Source organism: Homo sapiens, chromosome 6 (genome assembly GCF_000001405.40).
Source record: "Homo sapiens chromosome 6, GRCh38.p14 Primary Assembly".
Classification (NCBI taxonomy): Eukaryota; Metazoa; Chordata; class Mammalia; order Primates; family Hominidae; genus Homo; species Homo sapiens.
In genome coordinates this window covers 56,472,632-56,498,509 of record NC_000006.12, presented here as the reverse complement: position 1 = coordinate 56,498,509, position 25,878 = coordinate 56,472,632, and the positions used below count along the sequence as shown (strand labels likewise).

Genomic DNA, 25,878 nt, shown 5'->3' with positions numbered 1-25,878 from the left:
ATAACTAGCAAACTGTTCTCACACAGTCATTTCAGGGGACATTGATAGAGTAAAGGTACATCCAGGAAGGTTGCAAATTTAGGGGAAAAGAAGTTCATCATTTAAAAACTTAATATTAGCCAGCCTGGGCAACATAGTGAGACTACATCTGTATAAAAAATAAAACAAAATTAGCCAACCATGGCAGTGTGTGCCTGTAGTCCCAGCTATTTGAGAGGCTGAAATGGGACGATTGCTTGAGCCCAGGTGTTGAGGTTGCAGTGAGCTCTAATAGAACCACTACACTGCAGCCTGGGCCACAGAGTAAGACCCCATCTCTTTAAAAAAAATTAAAATTCTACACATATAACGTTTTTGTTTGAGGATGTTTCATAACCAGAAAGGAAAACAATTGCATTAAAGATGATATTAACATGTTACAAACTAGCAAACATGGTGTTATCTTTATATTTTCAGGTGCTCCAAAATGATGTATTAGCCCATCAGTCCACAGTGGAAGCCGTTAATAAAGCAGGAAATGATCTAATTGAATCAAGTGCAGGAGAAGAAGCAAGCAACCTTCAGAACAAGCTAGAGGTTTTAAATCAACGCTGGCAAAATGTTTTGGAAAAAACAGAACAAAGGAAGCAGCAGCTGGATGGTGCCTTGCGCCAGGTGAGTAAGAGAATAAATTCTGAAAGTTTTTATAGCATTCAAGACCAAAATAGCATGGAATTCTTTTATTAGTTCACAGACTCCTGTTTAATTTTTATACCTTAAGGAGAGGAGTAAAAATAAGTGAAATAAAGAACAGAACAGCAGAAGAGAACACAGCTTTCTAGTTCTTAGCATAATACTCTTATCTACTAGAGCTCTCCTGATGAAGAAAGGCAAATCTAATGGTACCTGGCTGTTCTTAAGAATGCATAGAGAGGCTTAGCAGGCTGGGATTGTTTGAAGCTTATTTCCTGCTTGAAACTGACAGTGTTTATGGCCCCAACTTAAAACTGCCTATTACTTCAGGCCAAAGGGTTCCATGGCGAAATTGAGGATTTGCAGCAGTGGCTGACTGACACGGAGCGTCATCTGTTGGCATCTAAACCGCTGGGAGGTTTACCGGAAACAGCCAAGGAGCAGCTTAATGTCCATATGGTAAGCAAAGTATTTCCTACAGCTTTAGCCTCAGAATAACAAACTGACCATGTTATATGGGCCCTGGCGATACATAAATCGTGGGAGAAGGCTTTAAAGATATAGTTTATGGCAGAAATCACTGTGTATACATGTTAGAAACACACCATTTATTGATTAAAATTTTAAAGTCAGAACCCATTCTTTATTTCTTTCTTTTTTTAATTTTATTATTATTATACTTTAAGTTTTAGGGTACATGTGCACAATGTGCAGGTTAGTTACATATGTATACATGTGCCATGCTGGTGTCCTGCACCCATTAACTCGTCATTTAGCATTAGGTGTATCTCCTAATGCTATCTGTCCCCCCTCCCCTGACCCCACAACAGTCCCCAGAGTGTGATGTTCCCCTTCCTGTGTCCATGTGTTCTCATTGTTCAGTTCCCACCTATGAGTGAGAATATGCAGTGTTTGGGTTTTTGTTCTTGCGATAGTTTACTGAGAATGATGATTTCCAATTTCATCCATGTCCCTACAAAGGACATGAACTCATCATTTTTTATGGCTGCATAGTATTCCATGGTGTATATGTGCCACATTTTCTTAATCCAGTCTATCATTGTTGGACATTTGGGTTGGTTCCAAGTCTTTGCTATTGTGAACAGTGCCACAAAGGTTAGTGTGTCAGTATGTTTTAGAATTCTAGACACTTTTTAGACACAAACCTTCCCCCACAAAATAAGCCTGTATGGGTGGTGGTAATATAACACAGTGTAAATTATTAAATTATTGTGCCTTGAAGTGTAAAGAAAAACCTCCAAAATAATCAGAATGACTTAAAATTATTGTTATAAGCATGATTGTCTCATTTGGTTTCATGGAAGGTTAGAAAATATACTCTTGTTCCGTTAAAAAAAAAAAACTTCCTTGTTTGTTTTAATGGTGATAGAGCTTTATCTTCAACTTCATACTTACACCAAATACAGACACAAAGAGGAGGCTTCTGTTTAACTGTCCAGTCTGGAGTGTTGTACCTGTGCGCTGTTCCTACCTAGATCATGTGACACAGTTGGCTCCTAAGAAAGATGAGGAAAAAATGATGAGACTTGAAATGTGGGCTTTCTTTCATAGAAATGGGGACTGTGAAATTAAATTTAGGCTACTTTGGATTTATTGACATTTTAAATTCATATTCCATTGTAATTCAGCACTAGAAGTTCTGAGAGGAAACAGTGTTTCAGATTTTGAAAGAGTCCCCTAATTTTTTACTTTTGTGAATTTACATCAGAAATTTTTTAAAATATTCAAATACTGATGATTATTATCTTGGGAGATAAAAGTAGAAGTACTTAGAAATTTGGCAAAAGAAATAGATCAGTGTACATCAATATCTACACTCTTTAATAGAGATATAATGTTGTTGTAAGATCTTAATAAAACTGCTCTTATTTGGAAATAATTTTGAATTTAGTGATTTGAGGAGGGCGTAACCATCATGTAGATGTTGTAAAGAAATAAAACAGATTATGACAGTAGGTAGCATCATATTTATTTCACAATCACCATCAGTAGTTTAAGTAAGTCCTACTAATTCGGTGTAGAATTTTCTAGAAATCTTTATGGTATACTTATTGTTTTAGAAAGTTATGTATGTGGTTTTTGTTGTTGTCGTTATTGGTTTTTAGTGCCACAGGAGACCTATTTGTTTCACTGGAAAAGTAATAGACTAAACTTGTAAGTGCTTATCTTCCTTTTTGAAAAAAAACCTGAGAAACTTCCAGATAGCTCCTTACTTTCCTGGAAAGTACTTGCACAGCTTTGACAGTGTCCATTAATTATAAGTTTAATGAACTCATGAACAGATAGATGCTTGGGATTATTTTCTAATAATATAAATATTTTTAAAATGTTAACTTAGAAGAATATAAGAACTTGAAAGCAAAGAACCTACCTTTAAGAATACTTTACTTTTAGAAAATATTCCATTTCAGCGAACTGAGTTTGGGCGGGGTATTTAAAATGAATCTTTTGTAACCCTATATAATAAATCATAGAAATCTGTTTAAATAAGTTTAAATTTGTGATTTAAAGCATTCTAAAGAGTTGTTGATATTTGTAATATCATTTCAATAAAGTTCTTTTGATTTTGTTGTGCTAGAAATGAAGAAAAGTACAAAACTTACAATATTAGTTTCCTGAGTTTTTAGCTATATCTGAAAGTTTTGCTTTAGGATTTAAAGCTTTTAGTAGATGATATTGTAAATATATTTATATAGGGCTTTTTTTAAAGCTTAAGAAATAAATTTTTGAGGTGATGAAAATGTTCTGGAGTTAGTGGTGATTACAAAACCTTGTGAATATAATTTTAAAAACACTGAATTGTATACTTATAATAGTGTATTTTATATTATATGAGTTATATTGCAAGTTTTAAAACGTATAAAGTTGAAAATGTGAGACATAAAATATATAATCTTTCAGTGAGAACTATGATTTAACCCACATTATAGTTGAATAAATAAAATAGAACTAGTCTTAATTTTTTAAATGAGAAGTAACTGTTGTTTTGTTGGTCTTAAACTTTGAATTTGTTTAAGCAATATTTTATGTCCTGTATAGAAGATACATACAACATTCTAGTTAGAAGCTTTAGAAATGTTCTAAATGAGAATAATATTCATAGTACCACAAGTTTGATTCTTATAATTCTGAATAATCAACTTAAATATATTACTGTGCTGGTTATTTACTTTCTATCCATTGCATGTTTTCTGAGTGCAGAATTAAATCGTACCAATGAAATACTACATTCATTGTATCATAGTACAAGGAGGGATCTACGAGAGCCTCTCATTTTACAGAGGAAGGAATTGAGGCTCAGAGAGATGAAATTACTTGCCCAAACTCACAGAACTAATTAGTTACTGTACAGTGAAAGCTTTCTTGACAGCATTTAAACTGTTGCTTCAAATCTTAGCATGCCAGAATGGGCTGATAATGATAACACCATTTTTTAGATTTCCCAGTAGACAGGGTATGACTGTAGGTTTAATTGTTGTTTCAATGTAGTGAAAAGTATAAATGCGTCAAGGTTGCCCTGAGAGAGCAAACAGAGATGAATATATGATGAGGAGCTTGGGACTGATGACCTAGAAAAATAGAACTCTTAAATTTTACTTTCTTAAAGTGATATAACTTGAGGGTATCTCAATTTAGGAAGTCTGTGCTGCCTTTGAAGCTAAAGAAGAAACATATAAGAGTCTGATGCAGAAAGGCCAGCAGATGCTTGCAAGATGCCCAAAATCTGCAGAGACAAATATTGACCAAGACATAAATAACTTGAAAGAAAAATGGGAATCGGTGGAAACCAAACTCAATGAAAGGAAAGTATGTGCTTTGATTAATATAATAGAATCAGTGTTTTAGTTGTTTCATGTCTTGGACTTGGCCTTATTTCTGAGTAGAGCTATCAGGAGTAGAACTTTCAATGATTTATGTTTAAACATTTTTTGTATATATTTGGAGATTTCATGGGGTAGTTGAAAATAATATTCTGTTTTAACATGAGAACATATTTAAAGGGGTGGGATATATTCAAAAATAGATAAATATATAGATCAAATGTTACTTAGTTATATTTTTAAATGTTAAGAACTACTCAAATTCTGGGTCATTAAATAATTAATTCTATTTTAATCTAATTAAACAAAAGACTATATATATGGGTGAGGGAGAGAGGGAAAGCAAGAGAGTGAGATGATTGTGTATATTCTTTTAAGTACTTACATTTAAAAATTCATGAGAATGGATTAAAATGTATATTAAATTATGAATATGTCTTTGTTACTTTTTTAAAACCGCAAAACTGACAATCTAAGAAATCTCAATATTGCATGAAAAAAACAATAGGCAAGAAATACAAGATTATATGCCATCACTGATGGAGCATAAAGTATGTATTTCATAATATTTTGAGTCCCCAAATTAATTGTATGAATGTCAACTTTTCTTTTTACAGATTATATTTAGTAATTGTGTTCTTTGGTTAATTTCCAAAAAACATGCTTTAGCGTATATTAATTTTTTTTTAGTTACAGTGAGATGCTGCTTACTAGGCTTAAAGGGTTTTGGTTTGCCAGTATTTTAGTGAGGCCCATTACATTTATAAGATATTTAGTTAATATATTAATAGATATGCATAAATAAAGTGGGGATAGGAAAGGAATCTGCCAGAGAATATTTAAACTGAAACAAACAAAATAACCAAGGCCCTTAAACATCACATACTAAACAATCTGTCCTTGCAGACTAAACTGGAAGAGGCTCTCAACTTGGCAATGGAGTTCCACAATTCTCTCCAAGACTTCATCAACTGGCTTACTCAGGCTGAACAGACCCTAAATGTAGCTTCTCGGCCAAGTCTCATCTTGGACACAGTCTTATTTCAAATTGACGAACACAAGGTATGTAGTGAGTCAAATAGATAGGATTCTCTTTTCAGACACCAGGCTTTTTTTTTTTTTTTTGAGACTGAGTCTCACTCCTCTGTCGTCCAGGACTGTGGTGGTGTGATCTTGGCTTACTTCAACCTCTGCCTCCCGGTTCAAGCGATTCTTGTGCCTCAGCCTCCCCACAGGTAGCTAGGATTATAGGTGCCCACCAGCATGCCTGGCTAATTTTTGTATTTTTAGTAGAGATGGGGTTTCAGCATGTTTGCCAGGCTAGTCTTGAACTCCTGACCTCAAGTGATCCACCCACCTCAGCCTCCAAAAGTGCTGATCACAGGCGTGAGCCACTGCACCCGGCTGACAGCAGGCCTTTTTAAAGTCAAAAGCATGCATTTGGTATTTCGAAAGCTTTCGTTTGTCCTTTAAAATAATTTCAGGTTTATGACACCAGAAGCATTTTTAAGATTGATCTGATTTTCATTTGTTTCTACTTATTTCCTTTTTTTCTGGGAAAGGTTTTTGCCAATGAAGTAAATTCTCATCGTGAGCAGATAATAGAGCTGGACAAAACTGGAACCCACCTAAAATATTTTAGTCAGAAACAAGATGTTGTTCTAATCAAGAATCTACTTATCAGTGTACAAAGTCGATGGGAAAAAGTGGTTCAACGGTTGGTAGAGAGAGGAAGATCTTTGGATGATGCAAGGAAGAGAGCCAAGCAGGTAATAACCCTTTAGAAAAATTCTCTGAACTTGTCAATAAACCACTTCTTGCTGTTGAAATATATGTTATGGATGTACTTTTATCACAGGCTGTATTAGGCATAACAATCATGGCATGGTGCCATGGTGGTTCTTTCCTAAAAGGGCTGTGGCCTCAGTTTGGATGCTGACATCACTTTTTGACCTGGCAGCAATTTCAGCCCCTGGGGACTAATCTTAAGAAGACTGATTATAGCTTGACTTCATAGACAGGCTATTATCATTGAGGCCCAGAAAGAAGCTCAGAATTTTTTTTTATTGGGTTTGTTTTCTTTTTCTTTGTCCTTTTGACCTCTGTTCTCATAATCAGAGTGAGACATCATACTTCATTGTATTGCTACCTTTTGTTTAGTTCCTAAGCCAGACTTTCTTCACAAGCTATCAGTGCTGAGAGCCAGACATGTAGCCCTCCCGACAGCTTTCTGAAGGGGCATATTCTCTGTCTGAGTTGGTCGGCACTCCCCACCTCTTTGAACACTTGTTGACAGACCTTCATTTCTTCTCTAATATTTTGAGCAGATAATAGAGCTCCATCTCACTTTGAAATTAATTTTTTTGAATCTTTTGGGGCCACTTTAAAATTTTAATCTAGAGATTTTCACAAATTTCACAGAGAACTCTCCTCTCCTTACTCCCTTTACCTGTTGTTAACATTCCATTCTAGACTAAACACAAAGAGGTAAAGTTATGCATCTCTGTGTGTCTTTGTACTCCATGGAAGAGAGAGGTGTACCTACCTCGCTTGACAAATATATATATTTTTAAACATTTGATTTTTACTAGAAATTTAGTGTAATATTGTAGGAGGATTTTACAATTACTTTTTGCCTCAGTCAGCTGCAATTTTCTAGCCTTAGTGTTGTACCCCATTGTTTTGAGGAGTTAAGCTCAGTTGGGTGATGCAAAAAGATGTCACGGGAGTCAGGTGTTTCAATGTTTAATGCTAACAGTACAAATGTTTGAAGGCTTGAGAAATGACAAATTGCATTGTTATAGCATTACACACCATAGACCCCATTTTGAATGGGAGGTGTGAAATGTTCAGTGTTACAAATGAGTCACTGGGATATACTCCATCTCTAATGTTTCTTTAAGACAGTATTAATTCTCAGCCTGACAGTTTTCTCTCCACATTATGTGGTGCAATAACATGTGTAGTGCCGGCATTTCTTGAGTTATGAACATCAGTTTATAAATGTTTCTTGGATATCAGTAGCCAGTTGCTCATCTTTTTCCTCCTTTCTCGATTTAATCAATTTTATTTTCTCATTTTGTCTAATTAACTTTATAAATATTTGCTACTGTTTTTAGTGCAAATGTATAGCATTTCCTCTATTTATATGGCTTAAAAATAGTTTTGAAAGCAGAACCAGCCTCAGAACTTGTGCGTTTGTATCATTGACCTTACCATCCAACTGTTATAGCCTGTATTATTTGGAGTCAAACTACCTAACACCTTGACTAGCTGTTTCTACTATTTATTTCTTCTTCTTCTAATATCTCAGTTTTTGGCTCAGATATTGATCATACTTCTCTGACTTTCACAATTCATGTGTCTATTCTAGTTTCCATTTTTCCATGTTTTAATTGATTAAAGTTGTGAGAGGGATATGAAGGTTTGTAATGAGATGATCTCCAGAGAGCCCTTACAGTTTTGTGAGTCTGTGTCCTTACTCTGCTCTTATTGTTAAATATCTTGTTGTTATTTCATTATTCATGTGCTTTGGTATACAATAGATTTAATTTTGATTACTAAATTTTTTGTTAGGTATCTGTTCACTTAAGCTTATTGTGACAAATAATTTATAACCAATTTCACAATTGTATCAGAAAATAGTACCTGCTGGTTCTTGATGACAAACCGAAAAGAAACTGTGCTCAAAATCAAATATATATAGTACCAGAATGTTTGCAAGGTTATAGATGCCAAAGAGAATAACATTGTGTTAGAACCCAAATATTGTGGCTGCTCAGTCATATAAAACCAATATGTGAGGCACAGGCATTGATTTGAGGATATTGATAGCAGCAATAAAGATGTTGAACTATCTTTGCATTAAATAGGAATGCAATGGCCTCTTTTTTGTTTTTGCTACTTTAAAAAATCAATTTACAAGCTTTATACTTACCCCTCCCCATTTTTGTTCCTCTTTCTTAACATAGGGATTAAATTCCCTAGAAGTAAACCCAGATCTGTCAACAGACAGCAGTAAACAACAGCAACAACAAAAATACAAAACATTTTCTGAGAGTTTATGTTAATTATTGAACAAGAAGAAAGTATAAGGAAGAAGTTCTTTCTGTAGCTTCCTAACTTTTTTCTAGGCTCTTTTAGAGCTGATATGTTGAATGAATTAAAACAAAGTGACAGTGGGGCACAGCCACAAATGCTAAGCATTATCAAGACTTTTTTTGTAATTTGCTGATGAAAGCATTACTTTTTTCTTCTTCAGTGGAAATTTTGAAATAATAATTTTCAGGATTTTCATCACTATTAATCTCTGTCTTAAAACTGTGCTAGATCTCAAGTATAATATGCTTGAAAAATTTTCAGACAAAGGTGTGAATTTCTTTCTAGTTCCATGAAGCTTGGAGTAAACTTATGGAGTGGCTAGAAGAGTCAGAAAAGTCTTTGGATTCTGAACTGGAAATCGCAAATGATCCAGACAAAATAAAAACACAACTTGCACAACATAAGGTGGGTCCATAATTAAGAAGAGCATATTGTCTCATTATATAGTTCAAGATCACTTTAAAATCCTTACTTCATCACGTGTTTATTCATCACTAAAGAAAAAATGTAGGTCCAGTGTGAACCTGTATTAAATTTAAAAGCTATTGCTCTTCATGTTGCTTATGTTGCAATATCTTCACTCTTCAGTGACCATTTCACTAATGATTCCCAGGTTAATTGTTAAAAAGAAAAACATACAAAATAAAAATGGAAATCCTCTACAATCTAAAACATATAAAGGATTTGTAGTGGTTTTAAACATTGGCATTTCAGTTTTTCATGATAGCTGTCTTTTCCTGTACTTTCTTTGACAGACAAAATAGCACCTTGAAGGTAATTCTGTAGTAAAAAGTAATAGATATTTTGCGGTATGGATTCTTTTAAACAATAGAGTGAGAAAAATTGGATGCTTGTACCTAAATTGTAAATTAATATTTTATTGTGTTTGTGCACGTATAAAATTCCACCCAACCTCAAAGGTACCCAAAGACATGTTTATATAGACTAGAAAAGCATGTAGAAACATTGTTTTTTAAATATTTTCTACCTTTTCTATGCCTATCATATTTTATATCTTCCACATGACATTCAAAGAGCATTCCCTCCCACCCTCCCCAGCTCTTTTGAATTTGGATTTTTATGTAATTCTATTTATAAAGTTGACCCCACCAGCCATCAGGATGAGGATGTGGGTAAAAGGAGAGTGATTCTTGCAAAGGGTTTTACAATTTTAGGCACGTACATATAAATTATCGCTTGAAACATAATTTTTAAAGGCTGGAAAAATTGGGGTGATATAAAATTTGTCATCATCAGGAGGAAATCCTGGCCATCATCTTCACATAGGTTGGCTGCTTCCATCAGTGGGTCTAACCTTAGGAGGTCATGATTAGAGGGATGGGAGGAAACATATTGAGCATCTGTTCCCTGGCCAGATGAGGGCTAATGAATGGCTTGCTCTGCTGGCACCCTTTGCCTGTGAGCTGCCACATTCAATATTGGGAGCACAGTGACAGTGAACAGCACCTTCCTTCCTTCCCCTCTGATGGCGAAATGAGAGCTTCCTTCTCAAAACAGAATGCTTTATTTGAACTTGAATGTGGATGTTGTATCGTGTAGTCTTATGAAAGTATATTACATATTAAAGTTAGAGAGTCCTATAAATAAGAATATCTACCTTTTTAAAGTCTCTATTTGGCAACAGTGACCTGTATTCAACCATAACATTTTTTGTATATCTGCTTTGTGAAGAAAATCTCTGTCAATACCATGATTCTATAACACTGGCATTCTGTTTAGCATAATATGAAAAAAAATTTATGGATAACTGTAGAAATAATGTGATTGTAATTGTGTTGTCTATTACTTAGAAATTTCCAGATGTAGTTGCCTATTACCCATGACAAATTAAATAATTTAGTCATATTAAAACACTTTAAAGTATGTAGCTTTTAAAGGCCGTAAAAACTTCTTAGGTAATTATAACCTTGAGATTATTTTAGAAAAGTGTACATTTGCATAGCATTTTACTATCTAGGGTAATTTTAATTTGCTACAAGGATTGAGAATCACTGTATTAATGTTTCCATTATATTTTGTGAGTTTGTAAGCTTCCCATTAAGTTGACCTTTCTTTGTTCTCATTCCTGCTATTGTATATTCAGTAACAGTTATCTCATTCTTTCTACTCTTCCTATTGAATATTTATAAACATCTACTAGGTGTAAGATGATAATGAGAGGCCTACAAAGACAATGTCCCTGCTCTATAAAAGCTTATGATTGAGTTGTGTAGAAAGACTATACAGATGCTCCTCAACTTACGATGGGTTTTTATCCCCATAAACCCTCTGTAAGTTGAAAATACGGTAAATAAAAAATGCATTTAATACACCTAACATTAGCTTACAATAGGACAAGATCATCTAACCCAAAACCTGTTTCTATAATAAAGTGTTGAATATCTTAGGTACTTTATTGAATAGGTGACTGAAGTATGGTTTCTACTGAATCCCTATGGCTTTCGTACCATGGTAAAGTCAAAAAATCCTAAGTCAAGTCATTATAAGTCAGAAAGCATCTATAATTCATCTCCATTTATTAGGGATGCCTCTGTTAATGCCTCTTACCTGTTTATTAGTCCCAAGAAGAAATTCGCATTTTTTTCTTGTTAAATATTTAGGAGTTTCAGAAATCACTCGGAGCCAAGCATTCTGTCTACGACACCACCAACAGGACTGGACGTTCTCTGAAGGAGAAAACCTCCCTGGCTGATGACAACCTGAAACTGGATGACATGCTGAGTGAACTCAGAGACAAATGGGATACCATATGTGGAAAATCTGTGGAAAGGTAAAATGTTCTTTAAGACAGTTTGGTTACTCTGTAGACCTCTTTCAAATACACAGTAATGGTGCTTTGCGGGGACATTTCGGGAACCTTAAATATTTCCTTTGCCTGAGGAACTTCTGCTTGTCCTAAGTATCCCACACACATAGCACTTGCATTGAGAAGTCTTTGCTGTTCATTAATTTTTAACTACTCATTACAATAAAAAGTGATATCATTGTCCAAGCTTCTGCCATCTCAGACTTGACTACACCCACTGCTTCTGACTCGTCTTCCCATGTCCACTTTTATCACTTCTTTGACTTAATTTCTACATAACTACTGGATAGTCTTTTAAAAATGTAAATGGAATCTTGTCATTCCCCTCCTTCACACCCTTTGGTGACTTACTACTGGGCATGCATTGAAACACAGGCTTCTTAATGTGACGTGCAAGGTACCACTGATCTGGCCCCAGCATTTCTTTCCAACTCCATCTACCCCTTTCTGATCTCCCTCTTTCTCATTACATTTCCATGAAAACCCAAGACATATTTCAAAAATTTTAAGTATTTAATTGAGTACAATAGTAGTAGAGTTCAAATATATTGTACATGTTTCCAAATTTTCCCGCTGATCCTTAATCTTAATGATTTTTGTCAGTATCAAGATTAAATAGATTATATTCAGTTCTGGGGAACTCACAGTAAGTTTTTGTCATGTTAGTTTTGAAAAAATCCTTTTTTTTTTTTTTTTTTTTTTTTTGAGACGGAGTCTCGCTCTGTCACCCAGGCTGGAGTGCAGTGGCGGGATCTCGGCTCACTGCGAGCTCTGCCTCCCGGGTTCACGCCATTCTCCTGCCTCAGCCTCCCAAGCAGCTGGGACCACAGGCGTCCGCCACTACGCCCGGCTAATTTTTTGTATTTTTAGTAGAGACGGGGTTTCACCGTTTTAGCCGGGATGGTCTCGATCTCCTGACCTCGTGATCCGCCCGCCTCGGCCTCCCAAAGTGCTGGGATTACAGGCGTGAGCCACTGCGCCTGGCCCTTGAAAAAATCTTAAATTCCTCAGCCACAGCATGTTACATACCTTTTCCAGTGTTGTATGCATGGTTTTATTTACAAGATTTTTGAAAAGACAAAAAAATAAAGTCCTGACAAACGGATCAATGAATGCTAGGGGTTTGAAGGCGGGGGCAGGGCGTGTCTATAAAGAGACAGCACGAGGAAGATTTTTGGGATGGTTGAACTGTTCTGGATCTTGATTGTGGTGATGATTACGTGAATCTATACATGTGTTAAAATGTATAGAAGTGTATACCAAAAAATGTCAAGTTTACTGCCTGATAATCTAAAACAAAATTTTAAAAATATTTAAACAGTTTAAAAGGCTTATTTTTATGAAGAAACATGAAGGGTCCATGGTTTCCAAAGGTGGGAATTTTCCTGGAACAGATGCCATGTATTTAAGGAATAAGAAAGAAAGTTTAGAAAAGTTTTGTCTTTTTCCTAAGAAGAGCAAAGAAACAACAATGAATACCAACATACTGCTCTTCCCCTTGAGTACCACTCAACCTTCATCAATTAATTTTAGATGTTCAGATATATGAGTGACGTTTTTTGTTGCAAGGATCAATTTTTCTACCTTTTTCCCTAGACAAAACAAATTGGAGGAAGCCCTGTTATTTTCTGGACAATTCACAGATGCCCTACAGGCTCTCATTGATTGGTTATATAGAGTTGAACCCCAGCTGGCAGAAGACCAGCCTGTTCATGGAGACATTGATTTGGTGATGAATCTGATCGATAATCACAAGGTATTGTTATCTGGGACATTTTATTTTATCTTGTTTGATTATTCTGAGTGTACAGGAAATGTAAACCATTTAAATTAGCCTTTTAAAATCAGAAGACTATAGATCATACTACATAACAGTCTTTATTGTTGAAATATGTGTCCGTTTGAGCAGAACCTGGAAGCAAACTTTAAAAGTGATGGGGAAGTATTATTTAGTGTCAGTGAAATACTTTTGCTTTTAATTACCAGATCTAAAACCTTTTTAGAACTTGGAAAGTGATTTCATTCTCTGGTGCTTTAAAACAGATTTCAAGAATGTTTTACTATCTTTAGTTATGCACTTAAACAATTATGTAATAAAATTTAAAATCATTCATTCAGTGACCTGACACTAAGTCATTGCATAAGTATGTAGATTTGTGACATGACCCATGGTGGTCATGACCAACTGCTTTTAAAAATACCGAACCAAAACTGTTTTAACCTTGCCCCTTGAATTATAGCAGTTTATGAGTCAGCAGCTTATGCTATAAGGGATTTGATTATTATTTACTTCGAGAAAACTGGCTTCCTTGAAATCTCCTGATATGCATGTAAAACTGTCATGTCATGTAAATCAAAGGTAATATTCAAGGTGTCCAACTAAGTGTAAGGTCCAAAATAATGACCAAATGATATAAAGCAACTTAGCCTTGGAAACAATATGAAGCATAGTACTAATGTAGAATAGTTGTATTGGAGTTGACTTTATATAAAAATGTCTTACATCACTCTACTTAAATTCATCTTGTATTTCTTCTCTCTAGTATCTGAGTTCAGAAAACTTATTCCATTTATAATGTTCTCTTTATATTGGTTATGCTATTTTGATCTTACCATTCTTTTTAAAAGTCTTATTACATATTTATTTTTCCTTTTTTCTTTCTATTCTATCATTATACCCATAAGAGAGTTTGTTACACCTGAAAAGTGAAACAAACTAAATTAAAATAAAATAAAAGAATAAATAAAGAACATTGGTCAAGTCTACAAAAGTTAAAAATTTAAAAATCACATGGCTTTGCTTATATTGAAATAAATGTTTTGTGTATGGTTAATACAAACTTCTCTATTTCCTGGCATTTATTCAATGAGTAATGAATAGCGTAATGTTACTTTTTACATAAATGCCATTTCTGTAAACTCACTGTCTAAATATTTACTACTCTAGGTAATTGCCAGATCTTTTATATATTAAAGGTCATCAAGAATGAATTAATCATTTAGCATTAGTAATACAACTGGAAGGCTCAAGAAGTTCAAGTATGTAAAAATGCTTTGGAAAGTCTTCTGAAAACTATTGGACTAGTCCTATCATAAATGGGATATTTAGATACTGTACCATTTGCATGTGTGCTTGTGTGTGTGTGAATGTGTGTATTGGTGTATACGTGTGTGTTTGTGTCTTTCTGCAGGCACATCTCATTTTAACTGTTAGAGTTGAATCAGTCAAATAATCACTTTTGTGATAGGCTCACTTTTGTGAATGATCTGAGTATCAGAATAGAAACCTATAGATATGGCCAAATGGTAATATTCATTTATGATGATTTTTTTAAAAACACATTAATTTTATTGTGACAGAATGTTGGTTATTAATGTTTGAAAGATCTAGTTGCATACACAGACTCTTGGATCAAAAATAAAGAGCTCTGGGCTCACTTCTTAGATCAGTCTGTGGCCAAAATAAATGAATTTAATTCCTGGCACATCAGTTTGTCAAAATTAGGCAGGAAAAAAAAAAAAAAAAAAAAAAAAAAAAAAGCAAACCCAGAAGCTTTTCCTCTAAGGTGAAAGACAAGGATTTAAGCCTCTAAAATTTGACATTATGAGTTAGTACCTAAGATATTATGAAAGACCAAGGAGTGTTATAGGAATAAAAGACCATCTGCCAACTTCCTATGGAATTCCCTGCCATTATCTCTAAGACATCCGTGGTACACACATCAAGATTGCTTAGTCCTCTGTTAGGTTCTTAGATACATCTCTTAGAGTAGTGCCAAAGCCAGCATCCACTTGACATTCACACTAGTGATTTGAGAGAAATTGGGACACCATATTAAAGAATCATTAAGAAAAGGAATTTGTTGCATTGTTTTATGAAATTGAAATAATGAAGGCTGGCTGCCATTATTTAAATCCAATATGTCATTTTAAAATAAGATAATCTTATCTTGTTTTCTCATGAGAATGTGACAGGACTGAACAAATTTATACAAGACTCTTCTTGATGGTGCTCAAATAGGAGCAGTGTGTCATTTATCTTCTGAAGATGCTGCCAGAAATATGGTTATTAAACTGTAGGTCTTAGATATCTTTACATGATGTTATGTGCACATATATATCTCAAACAGTATGTGTTGCTGTTTTGGTTTTGTAATTAAAATTAATTTTTCAAAATATGGTCTTCTTAGGCCTTCCAAAAAGAGTTGGGGAAGAGGACCAGCAGTGTGCAGGCCCTGAAGCGCTCAGCCCGAGAACTCATAGAAGGCAGTCGGGATGACTCCTCCTGGGTCAAGGTCCAGATGCAGGAATTAAGCACACGCTGGGAGACCGTGTGTGCACTTTCTATATCAAAGCAAACACGGTTAGAAGCAGCCCTGCGTCAGGTAAAAACCATGTAAATGAGAGCTGGGTGTAATGGGAAAAGTATTGAAACCTCAACAAGAACTATTCTAGTAAAAAATTGTGAGGCCCTCGTGTCTCAATCAGGACAGTCTGAAGAAGGAAATTCTAATAGCAACATTGCCTTGATCCTTCTCCCACCCTCCCTCATGAATTTAAATTACTGCTAGAGGGAGGCATTCTAATCTTCACATACAAGTGCTGCGTGAGTAATGTCTCAGCTTGGAAGTATGATGGACTGCCATTCATCTAAAATCAAGTTGTTAAAGTGGTAAATTTTTCTTCATATAGGCTTTTTTTTTAATATATTAAGTGTTTTCTTGTAAAATATGTGTATCTCTATCTTCTTAATGGGAGTAATGAAGCAATTAAATTTAAAACTTTTTTTTTTTCATTGAAGGGATGAATCCACTATACAGTTTTGTAAATTGTGCTAACAGGCATATTTGGGAATTTTGTTTGGGGTGTGTGTGTGTGTGAACTCTTAGGCAGAGGAATTCCACTCGGTGGTACATGCCCTCTTGGAGTGGCTGGCTGAGGCGGAGCAAACCCTGCGTTTCCATGGTGTCCTCCCAGATGATGAGGATGCTCTCCGGACTCTCATTGATCAGCATAAAGTGAGTAATATATAAATGCTATGTAAAGCTAAATTAGAAAATCAAAGCAGGGAAAATAGACTCGGGATTACAAATATCAACTGCATGAATATTTTCCTTCCTGAGAAATACTTAAACACCTGATACATTTGAGAGTGTACTTCTGTCCACATTGCTTACATATGTATGTCCCCATGCACCCACACACATGTATGTGTACCTGTCTTTTGATGTTTCCTTTTCAGGGAAGGTAGTTACTCTGTTTCCTATCTCAAGGAAGCATATTGATTTATCTAGGCTTTTTGGCTTTTGACCAAAATTGGTCAAGATTGTTGCAGTTATCATGTGGATTTCAAAAATAAAACCTCTTTAACGAGCAGTTTGGCATTTATAAAATTATACCCGTAGGATTGTAAATTAGTAATTTTGCCCTTTGTAAACAAGACACACAGGTAATTTAATAACTCATCTTTGAATCTATTTTTAAGCCTCTGCTGCTTCTGTTTTTAATCAAGAGCCTTTTAAATCCTTTTTAGAAGAAACCTATAGTATACATTAAAAACTTTAAAAATGAATTTCATAAGCCAATATTCTATTGAATAACTAACCAAGTCTAAATCTGGCTATTGAGTTTTCAAATCAAGATCTTTCCTGCGGCAATGCATGAAACTTGCCAAAACCCTTCAGAGAGTAATCCAAATATCTCTTAACAAATGTTTTTTAACCTTTGACTCAAAAAGTCAAGAATTTGAAATGGTAACGCTCAATGTAGTGTTGATGTCAGCATTTCCTATTAACTTTAAAGGATCTTTTAAACACCAGTAAATAATTTTGTCTTTTGAAGTCAGGCTGGAAATACATCATTAATTCTAGTGTAGCATGGATTACATCATGTGTGGAGACTTGTTATGTTAATTAACACCCTCTATCAAAGATGGGTTGCTGAATCTATAGCGATGAAATATTGCCATGTCATTTAAAAAGTGGTACAAGCTTGCATAGCATTTTCTGGAAGAATGAAATGCTATATATTATATACACCGTTTAAATTTGAAGCTAGAATATAAGAAGAAGACAGTTACATCAAATGTATTATAAATTTTTGAGTCAGTTCAATATTTTGAAAATGTAGTTTATATTATATTACTGTGGGCTTACCATCAGCCAGCATTGAGTTCCATTAACATACTTAGGTTTGGGTCTCAGAGTAGCAATAAATATTTGCTGGACACCACTTAAAGCCCATTGTGCATATCTAACACCCTACAGAAAGGAGCCTATTTGTGGTATCACCACTCTCACACCAGGACCAGGAAACCTCCAGAAGGCACGTATCCAGAGCAGGGGTAGTGGTTTTTACAACAAATTATTTTTAAATAGCATAAAATTACCTGTAATTTTATAAAACATTTCTTAATAATATTTTGCAGTAACACTATTCATTCTTTTCCATCTCCTCTGCTTCCCTTCATACATTCACCATTCACCATTCAAAGAAAAACAGAATATTTAATTTCTTAACACCAGAACTGGAGACTTCTTAGCATATCCAGTTTCTAAAAATGGCAAGCTTTCCCACATGAGAACAAACCAGTAAGGTAAGGTTCAGACTAGGTTGGAAGGGCATAGAATTCAGTGGAATGTTGACAGTCCAGTCCACCAAATTCTAGGTATAACCTTGGCTCCTCTAGGTGTAGAAGTGATTGAAAGTACATTATTTGTATCAGCTGTTCTCCAGGGGAAACACAGATGTTAGATTAACCTATTTTTTTCTCTTCCTTATAATGTTGGAGTTTTAAATTTTTTTCATTTAGGAGGATCCTGTATTGGGAAAATGATAATTTAAGTTATGATATTTAAAAAGTAGGTGTTATCAGAGTGTGCTGTCAATTGAACGTTGACTCCATTATAGTAAACTTGTAAATAAAAGGTCTAAAAAGCATTTATTCAGTAAATCACAACTCTTTTGAACCAACTACCGGGAACACAAAAATGAATAAAACACAGTCTTTTAATCTTGTGGACCGAACAGTCTAACATAGCAAAATGCCAGAGTAGGAGGTATGTCACAGAGCTGCTTCACAGAGGTTAAAGACAAAAGGCCACTTAAATTAGAATAAAACATATAAACATATCATATAAATTTAAATTCAGAGAGTACATGTACACGTTTGCTATATGAGTATATTGAGTAATAGTAGGGACTGGACTTGTTTTATACCAGTCATCCAAATGTTAAACACGGTACCCAATAGGTAATGTTTCAACTCTCAGGCCCCTGTGATCCTCCGTGCTTTTTGGAGTCTTCAGTGTCTATTATTTCCATCTTTATGTCCATGTGCGCCCATTGTTTGGCTCCCATTTATACATGAGAACGTGTGATATTTGATTTTCTGTTTGAGTTACTTCACTTAGGGTAATGCCTTCCAGCTCTATGCATGTTGCTGCAAAGTACATGATTTCATTCTTTTTTATGGCTGCATAGTATTCCATGGTATATATGTACCACATTTTTTTTTAATCCAATCAACTGTTGATGGACACTTATATTGGTTCTATGACTTTGGTATTGTGAATAGTGCTGGAATGAACATATGAGTGCTGTTGTCTTTTTGATATAATGATTTCTTTTCCTTTGGGTAGATACCGAGTAGTGGAATTGCTGGGTCAAATGGTAGTTCTAATTTTAGTTTTTTGAAATATTTTCATACTGTTTTTCATAGGCATCGAACTAATTTATATTCCCACCAACAGTGTATAAGCACGCCCTTTTCTCAGCATCCACATCATTTGTTGTTTTTTCACTTTTTAGTAATAGTCATCCTGACTTGTGTAATATGATATCTCAGGGTGGCTTTAATTTGTGTATCTCTGATAATTAGTGATGTTGAGCATTTTTCATGTGTTTGTTGGCTGCTTGTATGCTTGTATTTCTTCTTTTGAGAAATGTCTGTTCATGTGTTTTTCCCAGTTTTCAATGGAGTTGTTTGTTGTTTTCTTGTTGAGTTGTTTGAGTTCCTTGCAGATTCTGGATATTAGTCTTTTTTCAGAGGCATGATTTGCAAATATTTTCTCCCATTCTGTAGGTTAACTGTTTACTCTGTTGATTCTATCTTTTGTTGTGCAGAAGCTTTTTTATTTAATTAAGTCCCATTTGTCTATATTTGTTTTTGTCACATTTGCTTTTGGGATCTTTGTCATAAATTCTTTGCCTAGGCCGATGTCCAGAAGAGTTTTTTTAGGTTTTCTTGTATAGTAAAACACCTATATTTCAAAGTGAACACCCCTGTTCACATAGTGTGAGTAGCATGGGCATCATCGATCTCTGCGGCCTCTGGCACTCATTGTGTAATCAAGTAATCGCTCTTGGTGCAGGGGTCCAGAGAGACTGGGGTGTTTGCAGATCTCTAACATTCTATATGAGATTTTGGAAGCGTGTCACATTTTTAAGGGCAAAGATTCTCATTTTGTAATCACATTTTCAGAGTTCTATGATCTGTCTTATCTATGGATATAGTTCTGATGGTAGAAAGTACAATTAAGTATGTGAGACATTTGTAAAACATTTATTTGAAAGATCATCCTTGAGGATGTCAAGGCTTTGTTCATTCCGCTTGCTGGCAGAGACTGGCTAGAACTGCCAGAACAGAGGAGAGTGGCTCTTACTGGCATTTTAAAGGGACAGTTCTCACATGGGCTGACCTGCTGTCAGGCTCACTCTTCCAACCTCCCCTTCACTTTTTACTGCATAGACACTTTGGGCCCTCTCTCCCATACCCCCAAACATTTATCTTTCCTTACCCAGGCTTCTCTCTACTTTGTACTTTTTTATTCATGCTGCCATATTTCCTGGCATAGTTAATGCTATTTTAAATATTAACCTCCTTACCTTATTTGTTAGAACTTATTTTTGGTCAATCAGTATTGTTTCTATCTCTAGCAATACTGTCTCTCCCAATGCTATTCTCCATTAATAACATAATTATATCTAAATTTGGGAGAGTTATTTTTTTGTATAATACAGTTTTTGAAGCATGAAATATCCTATAAAGTTGGCCCTCTGTATCCAGATATTCAAAAATAAAATGGTTAAAAATATTCAAAAATAAAATGGATGGTTGCATCTGTACTGAAGATATACATACTTTTTTCCTTGTCATTATTACCTAAACAATACAGTATAACAACTATTTACAACAATTTACATTGTATTAGGTATTATTAGTAATCTAGAGATGATATGAAGCATATGGGGAGGATGTACTTAGGTCATATGCAAATACTACATCATTTTATATCAGGGACTTGAGCATCATTGGATTTTATTATGCACGGTATCCTGGAACCAACTCCCCTTGGATTCCAAGGGATGACTGTACTTGTATTTTGAAGTACATGTTAGAAAGTACTTTGTTTTCTATTTTGTCCCCTTTTCCTCCCCAATTAGTAGATGATTTTCACTGTGAATAAACCAATTGAAGTTTTTGTTTATTTGTTTAATTCTGGCAGTCAAACAAATGCCACCAGAGTTTTGTTTTCAGCCAATGCCAACAGTTAATTGAAGTCTTTGTTTCTGCTGTAGGAATTCATGAAGAAACTGGAAGAAAAGAGAGCTGAACTAAATAAAGCCACCACTATGGGCGACACCGTTTTGGCTATCTGCCACCCCGACTCCATCACTACCATTAAGCACTGGATAACAATCATCCGGGCGAGGTTTGAGGAGGTCAGTGTGTCTCAGATAATCTTCAGAGTAGCAATAGCTTTGAGAGTTGAGGGGTGTGGGAAATTTCAGGAATTAAGATGCACTTATGGCCATGGGAAAATGAGACCTCTACATAGAAAACGTTCTTTTAAATACGCTTCTTGTATGCATTACAATCTCTGCAATTCACTTTTCTTTAAAAGCTCAAAGAAATTTTGCAGCTATGTCCCTGGAAAATTAGAAGGCAAATATTTAGTACACTGTATAACATTTTGGCCTCCTTCCACATTGTTTCTGTTGAATAATCCAGCAGTTGGATGGTGTTTCGGAGCAGTATATACTGGTGGAGTGAATTGGTATACATAAAGTGAATTAATTCTGTATTTAATATCTTAGCTTTTTTTTTTCTTTCTTTTGACGGAGTCTCGATTTATTGCCCAGGCTGGAGTGCAGTAGCTGGATCTCGGCTCACTGCAACCTCTGCCTCCTAGGTTCAAGCAGTTCCTCTGCCTCAGCCTCCCGAGTAGCTGGGATTACAGGCGCGTGCCACCATGCCCAGCTAATTTTTTTGTATTTTTAGTAGAGATGGTTTCACCAGGTTGGTCAGGCTGATCTTGAACTGACCTCGTGATCCGCCCACCTCGGCCTCCCAAAGTGCTGGGATTACAGGCGTGAGCCACCACGCCCTGCCAGTATCTTAGCTTTTTACATTTCTACTCTGTGCCACATGGAGTAAGCTTACCTGATCCTTCAGAGAATGCATATTTGAACTCAAATTAGAAAGCAAAAGGAAGCCTGAGTGATTGACATGCATCTTTAAATTCTGAAGATGATGAACATCATCGTGGGCTCTCATGTCCTCCTCAAGCCAGATCTTGATGCCACTAATGGAATCTAAAAAGACCAGAAGCATTATGGGTCTAGCTCAGGATGATCCTAATTTTCATTTAAAATTTATTTATTTTACATCACTGCAATTATTTTACTAAGTTGGAGGAAATTCAGAGAAATTTCTGTTTCTCTGACAGGTGCTGGCCTGGGCAAAGCAACATCAGCAGAGATTAGCAAGTGCTCTGGCTGGGCTTATTGCCAAACAGGAATTGTTGGAAGCTTTGCTGGCTTGGTTGCAATGGGCTGAAACTACACTTACTGATAAGGATAAAGAAGTCATCCCCCAGGAGATCGAAGAGGTGAAAGCACTCATTGCAGAACACCAGGTAAAATAAATATAATCCTAACTCCTGTTAACCATTATCTCAGATATTTTCTTTCTTTCACTGCTGTACTTCTCAAAACATTGCTTTGTTCTCGTTATTTTCACTTCTTCAGACTCCTCAGCTCCTTACAACTGTGTTTCCAACTCTGCAACTGCCCTAAAACCTCTCTTTACAGGAACCCTCTGTGACCTTTGCAAAACTTTCCTTCTTTGTCCTCTGTGGGGTTACACTCGTGGTATTGTCTCACGTTCACTCCTGCCCTCCCTTTTGCCTTCTAAATGTCAGCTCTCCTTACTCCTTAGGTGTTATCCTCAGCTCTCTATTTCTCTCACTCTGTTCCCTCTTTTGGTGATCTCACCCACCTCCACCTCCCTGGCTTCAGTGGGTACAAGGTACCCACATTAAGGTATCCACATTAAATGTGGATGCATTATGTTCACATTGCATTAATCAAACAAGGTTTGATTGCTCTGCATTTTTATGTCTGTGAAGATGACTGTCATCACTTGAAATACATCATATGAAAAAGGGAACGTGTTGTCTTTCTTAGGAAAAGCAGCCTTCCTATATATCCTTCTTGTTTTAAACTCAAATGATGGGTGTCACACTCACTTTGATTTACTTGATTGCTCACAGTTTGTTTAATATGCATTTACAAAGAGAAATATTAAGTGTTAGCTCAGTTGGTTAAGCAATTAATGTTGCCATTATTTTGTGTGTGTGTGTGTGTGTGTGTGTGTGTGTGTGTGTGTGTTTTAAAAGCCTAATAAGACATCAATGTCTATAATGGCTCTAAGTGTACCAGGTCATGTTTCCTGTGATCAGAGGTATTAGAGTTCTTCAGTGTGACAAATATTCCAGAAAGGTGTTACTTCACTTTTCCCTTTTGTCTGGGTCTCCTTTTCCCCATCACTTTTCACAGTCTCTGCCTTTCCACAGCCTTTGCTGCATATTCCAAATAGAGGGATACCTAGTAAATAATAATAATAAGCCCAAGGAGATGAGATAAGCAGTGGCAAGATAGTTAAACCTTTTAAATACAATGGTAGTATACTTTAACCCAAATAGTTTTTACCACCCTTGGAATAGCCTATTTATGAATATTTTGATATGTCCACATTAAATGTGGATGTATTATGTCATAATATATCAAAGAGCCATCTTTTTTTTTTTTTTTTTTTTTTTTTTGAGAGGCAGGGTCTCACTCTGTTGCCCAGGCTGGAATGCAATGGCACAGTCGTGGCTCACTGCAGCCTCAAGCTCCTAGGCTCAAGTGATCCTCCCACCTCAGCCTCCTGTGTAGCTGGGACTACAGGCACATGCCACCTGGCCTAATTTTTGAATTTTTTGTAGAGACAGGGTTTCACTATGTTGCCTAATCAAAGCCATCTTAAATATTTCAAATATGTAGGTGAAATGTGCCACAGAAAAGTTCTTGGAAACATCCCAGCTACCTAGTTTGTTTGTAGACAGATGCTTACTAAAGATTCTTCTGAGGAGCTTGGAAACTTGAGTTTGGTTGATGCACAGACAGGTTATTTTATTCACATGACTTCTCCCATGTGTCCATGCAGGTTATTCCACTAAAACAAATTATTTTTATTTTCAATTTACTCTCTTTACAAGCATTAACATTTTATTTATTTATTTATTTATTTTTGAGACGGAGCAGAGTCTCACTCTGTTGCCTAGGCTGGAGTGCAGTGGCACAATCTCGGCTCACTGCAACCTCTGCCTCCCAGGTTCAAGCGATTCTCCTGCCTCAGCCTCCCAAGTAGCTGGGACTACAGGCGTGCACCACCATGCCTGGTTAATTTTTGTAATTTTAGTAGAAATGGGGTTTCACCATATTGGTCAGGCTGGTCTCAAACTCCTGACCTCAGGTGATCCACCTGCCTTGGCCTCCCAAAGTGCTGGGATTACAGGCATGAGCCACTGCACCTGGCCACATTTTATATTCTTTAGAAATTAGTAAATGCCTGCAGTATGATGGTTTAGATTTTTTTTACCCTAAAGATAAAGCATATGATTTATTCTTCTTCAGAAATAATAACATGGTTCTTTTATCCTTCTGCTTTTAGTTCATTTCTAAAGACGGTTTTCTGTAGTAACTCTTATTTGATTGACATCATTTCTTTCATTTCAGACCTTCATGGAGGAAATGACCAGAAAACAGCCTGATGTTGATAAAGTAACGAAGACCTATAAGAGGAGAGCTGCTGATCCTTCCTCATTACAATCCCATATTCCAGTCTTGGATAAGGGACGAGCAGGAAGTAAGCAGTGATCAATTTCTTTAAAATGTCAATAAATAAGGGAGCTAATTTTCTTTTATTTTGAATTATTTGAAATTTGGGGGCAATTGGTGATTTTACATGAGCACTTGATATCATGAAATACTTTCTAGAAGGAATACGTGTGCTCAAGTATTGTAGAAACTTATTTAAAAATAAAGAAAAAATATACCCAGGTTTCTATACGTAACTTTATTGTCTTGAAGTGTATCTTTCATATTAGCTAGAAGAAAATTGAAAAAATTTACAGTAAGAATGGAAATCATCACACCCTTTGCATTGTCTCATTTGTCTTCCATTATATATATAACATTAAAGCTGAACATAACAAAAATGACCATGACGTGGATAATCTTCATGACTTAGTTGTTCATTGGTGACCAGCAATCTCATAGCTTTTGCCCATGTTCATGTGACTTCAGGCTCTATATACTTCTTGAGCTACTTTAACAACATGACATGACATTGAAAACAATCATAGTTAGCTTGGAGAAGATTTAAAAAGAAACACAATTTGTGTTATATGTTTTATGCGTTTCTGAATAGAAATGCATTTTGCGTATTACTTAATTTTTTAATTAAAAAGAAATGATGTCGGAGCTATTGTAATTACTTACTACACAAGGAGACAAGGTAAACTATTAAGAGCCCTATAGCCAGACTCCTTGGCTGTCTCCAACACTTACCAAACTGAGAAACATAACCCTGGACAAGTTACTTAAACTCATTCTGAACCTCAGTTTCCTCATCTGTAGAAGGGTATAATTATAACTTCATTGGACTGCAGTGAGAATTAAATGAGCTAGTACATACAAAATGCTTAACCTACTTCCAGGCATATAGTTAAATGCTCAAGTATTTGTTGTACTATAAATCCTAGCTGGGACACTTAACATTCTATATGACCCTAGGCTAGTAATGTTTCTAGGCCGTATTTAGCCATTTAGTAAGATGAGAAAAATTTGTTAAGGTCATTGTTTTGTGAAGTTGTTGAGACTTGTGGAAAACAGCCAGAAAGCAGGAGGAAAGTTTAGTAAGGCAGTAAACTTGGGTTTGAGACTATGCACAGGAAACATGCAATCTCAGTGGAAAATGGATGTGGGCGAAGGCTGGGGTCCCATACACATGCTGCCATATTTTATTGGCATTTGTGAAGTGTCTTGCTTTGACTCTTGTGACTGCCCAGTGCCTGCTGCCCTCATCTGCTCTCCCTTTCTGCCTTA

The 25,878-nt window shown here is 35.6% G+C and overlaps 1 protein-coding gene across 10 annotated transcripts in view; it reads left to right on the top strand.

The window, feature by feature from the left end:
• The window catches only part of DST (dystonin), a 496,835-nt gene that overhangs the window by 456,321 nt on the left and 14,636 nt on the right, over positions 1–25,878 (top strand). For all 10 annotated transcript variants that reach the window (NM_001144769.5, NM_001374722.1, NM_001374736.1 and 7 more), the window contains 13 exons: positions 457–654; positions 1,003–1,131; positions 4,330–4,500; positions 5,421–5,576; positions 6,077–6,283; positions 8,901–9,020; positions 11,237–11,406; positions 13,039–13,198; positions 15,633–15,827; positions 16,332–16,460; positions 21,022–21,165; positions 22,173–22,361; positions 24,508–24,637. In NM_001144769.5, coding sequence (NP_001138241.1) covers positions 457–654; positions 1,003–1,131; positions 4,330–4,500; positions 5,421–5,576; positions 6,077–6,283; positions 8,901–9,020; positions 11,237–11,406; positions 13,039–13,198; positions 15,633–15,827; positions 16,332–16,460; positions 21,022–21,165; positions 22,173–22,361; positions 24,508–24,637 — 2,098 coding nt within the window. The remainder of the gene's footprint in view (positions 1–456; positions 655–1,002; positions 1,132–4,329; positions 4,501–5,420; positions 5,577–6,076; positions 6,284–8,900; positions 9,021–11,236; positions 11,407–13,038; positions 13,199–15,632; positions 15,828–16,331; positions 16,461–21,021; positions 21,166–22,172; positions 22,362–24,507; positions 24,638–25,878) is intronic.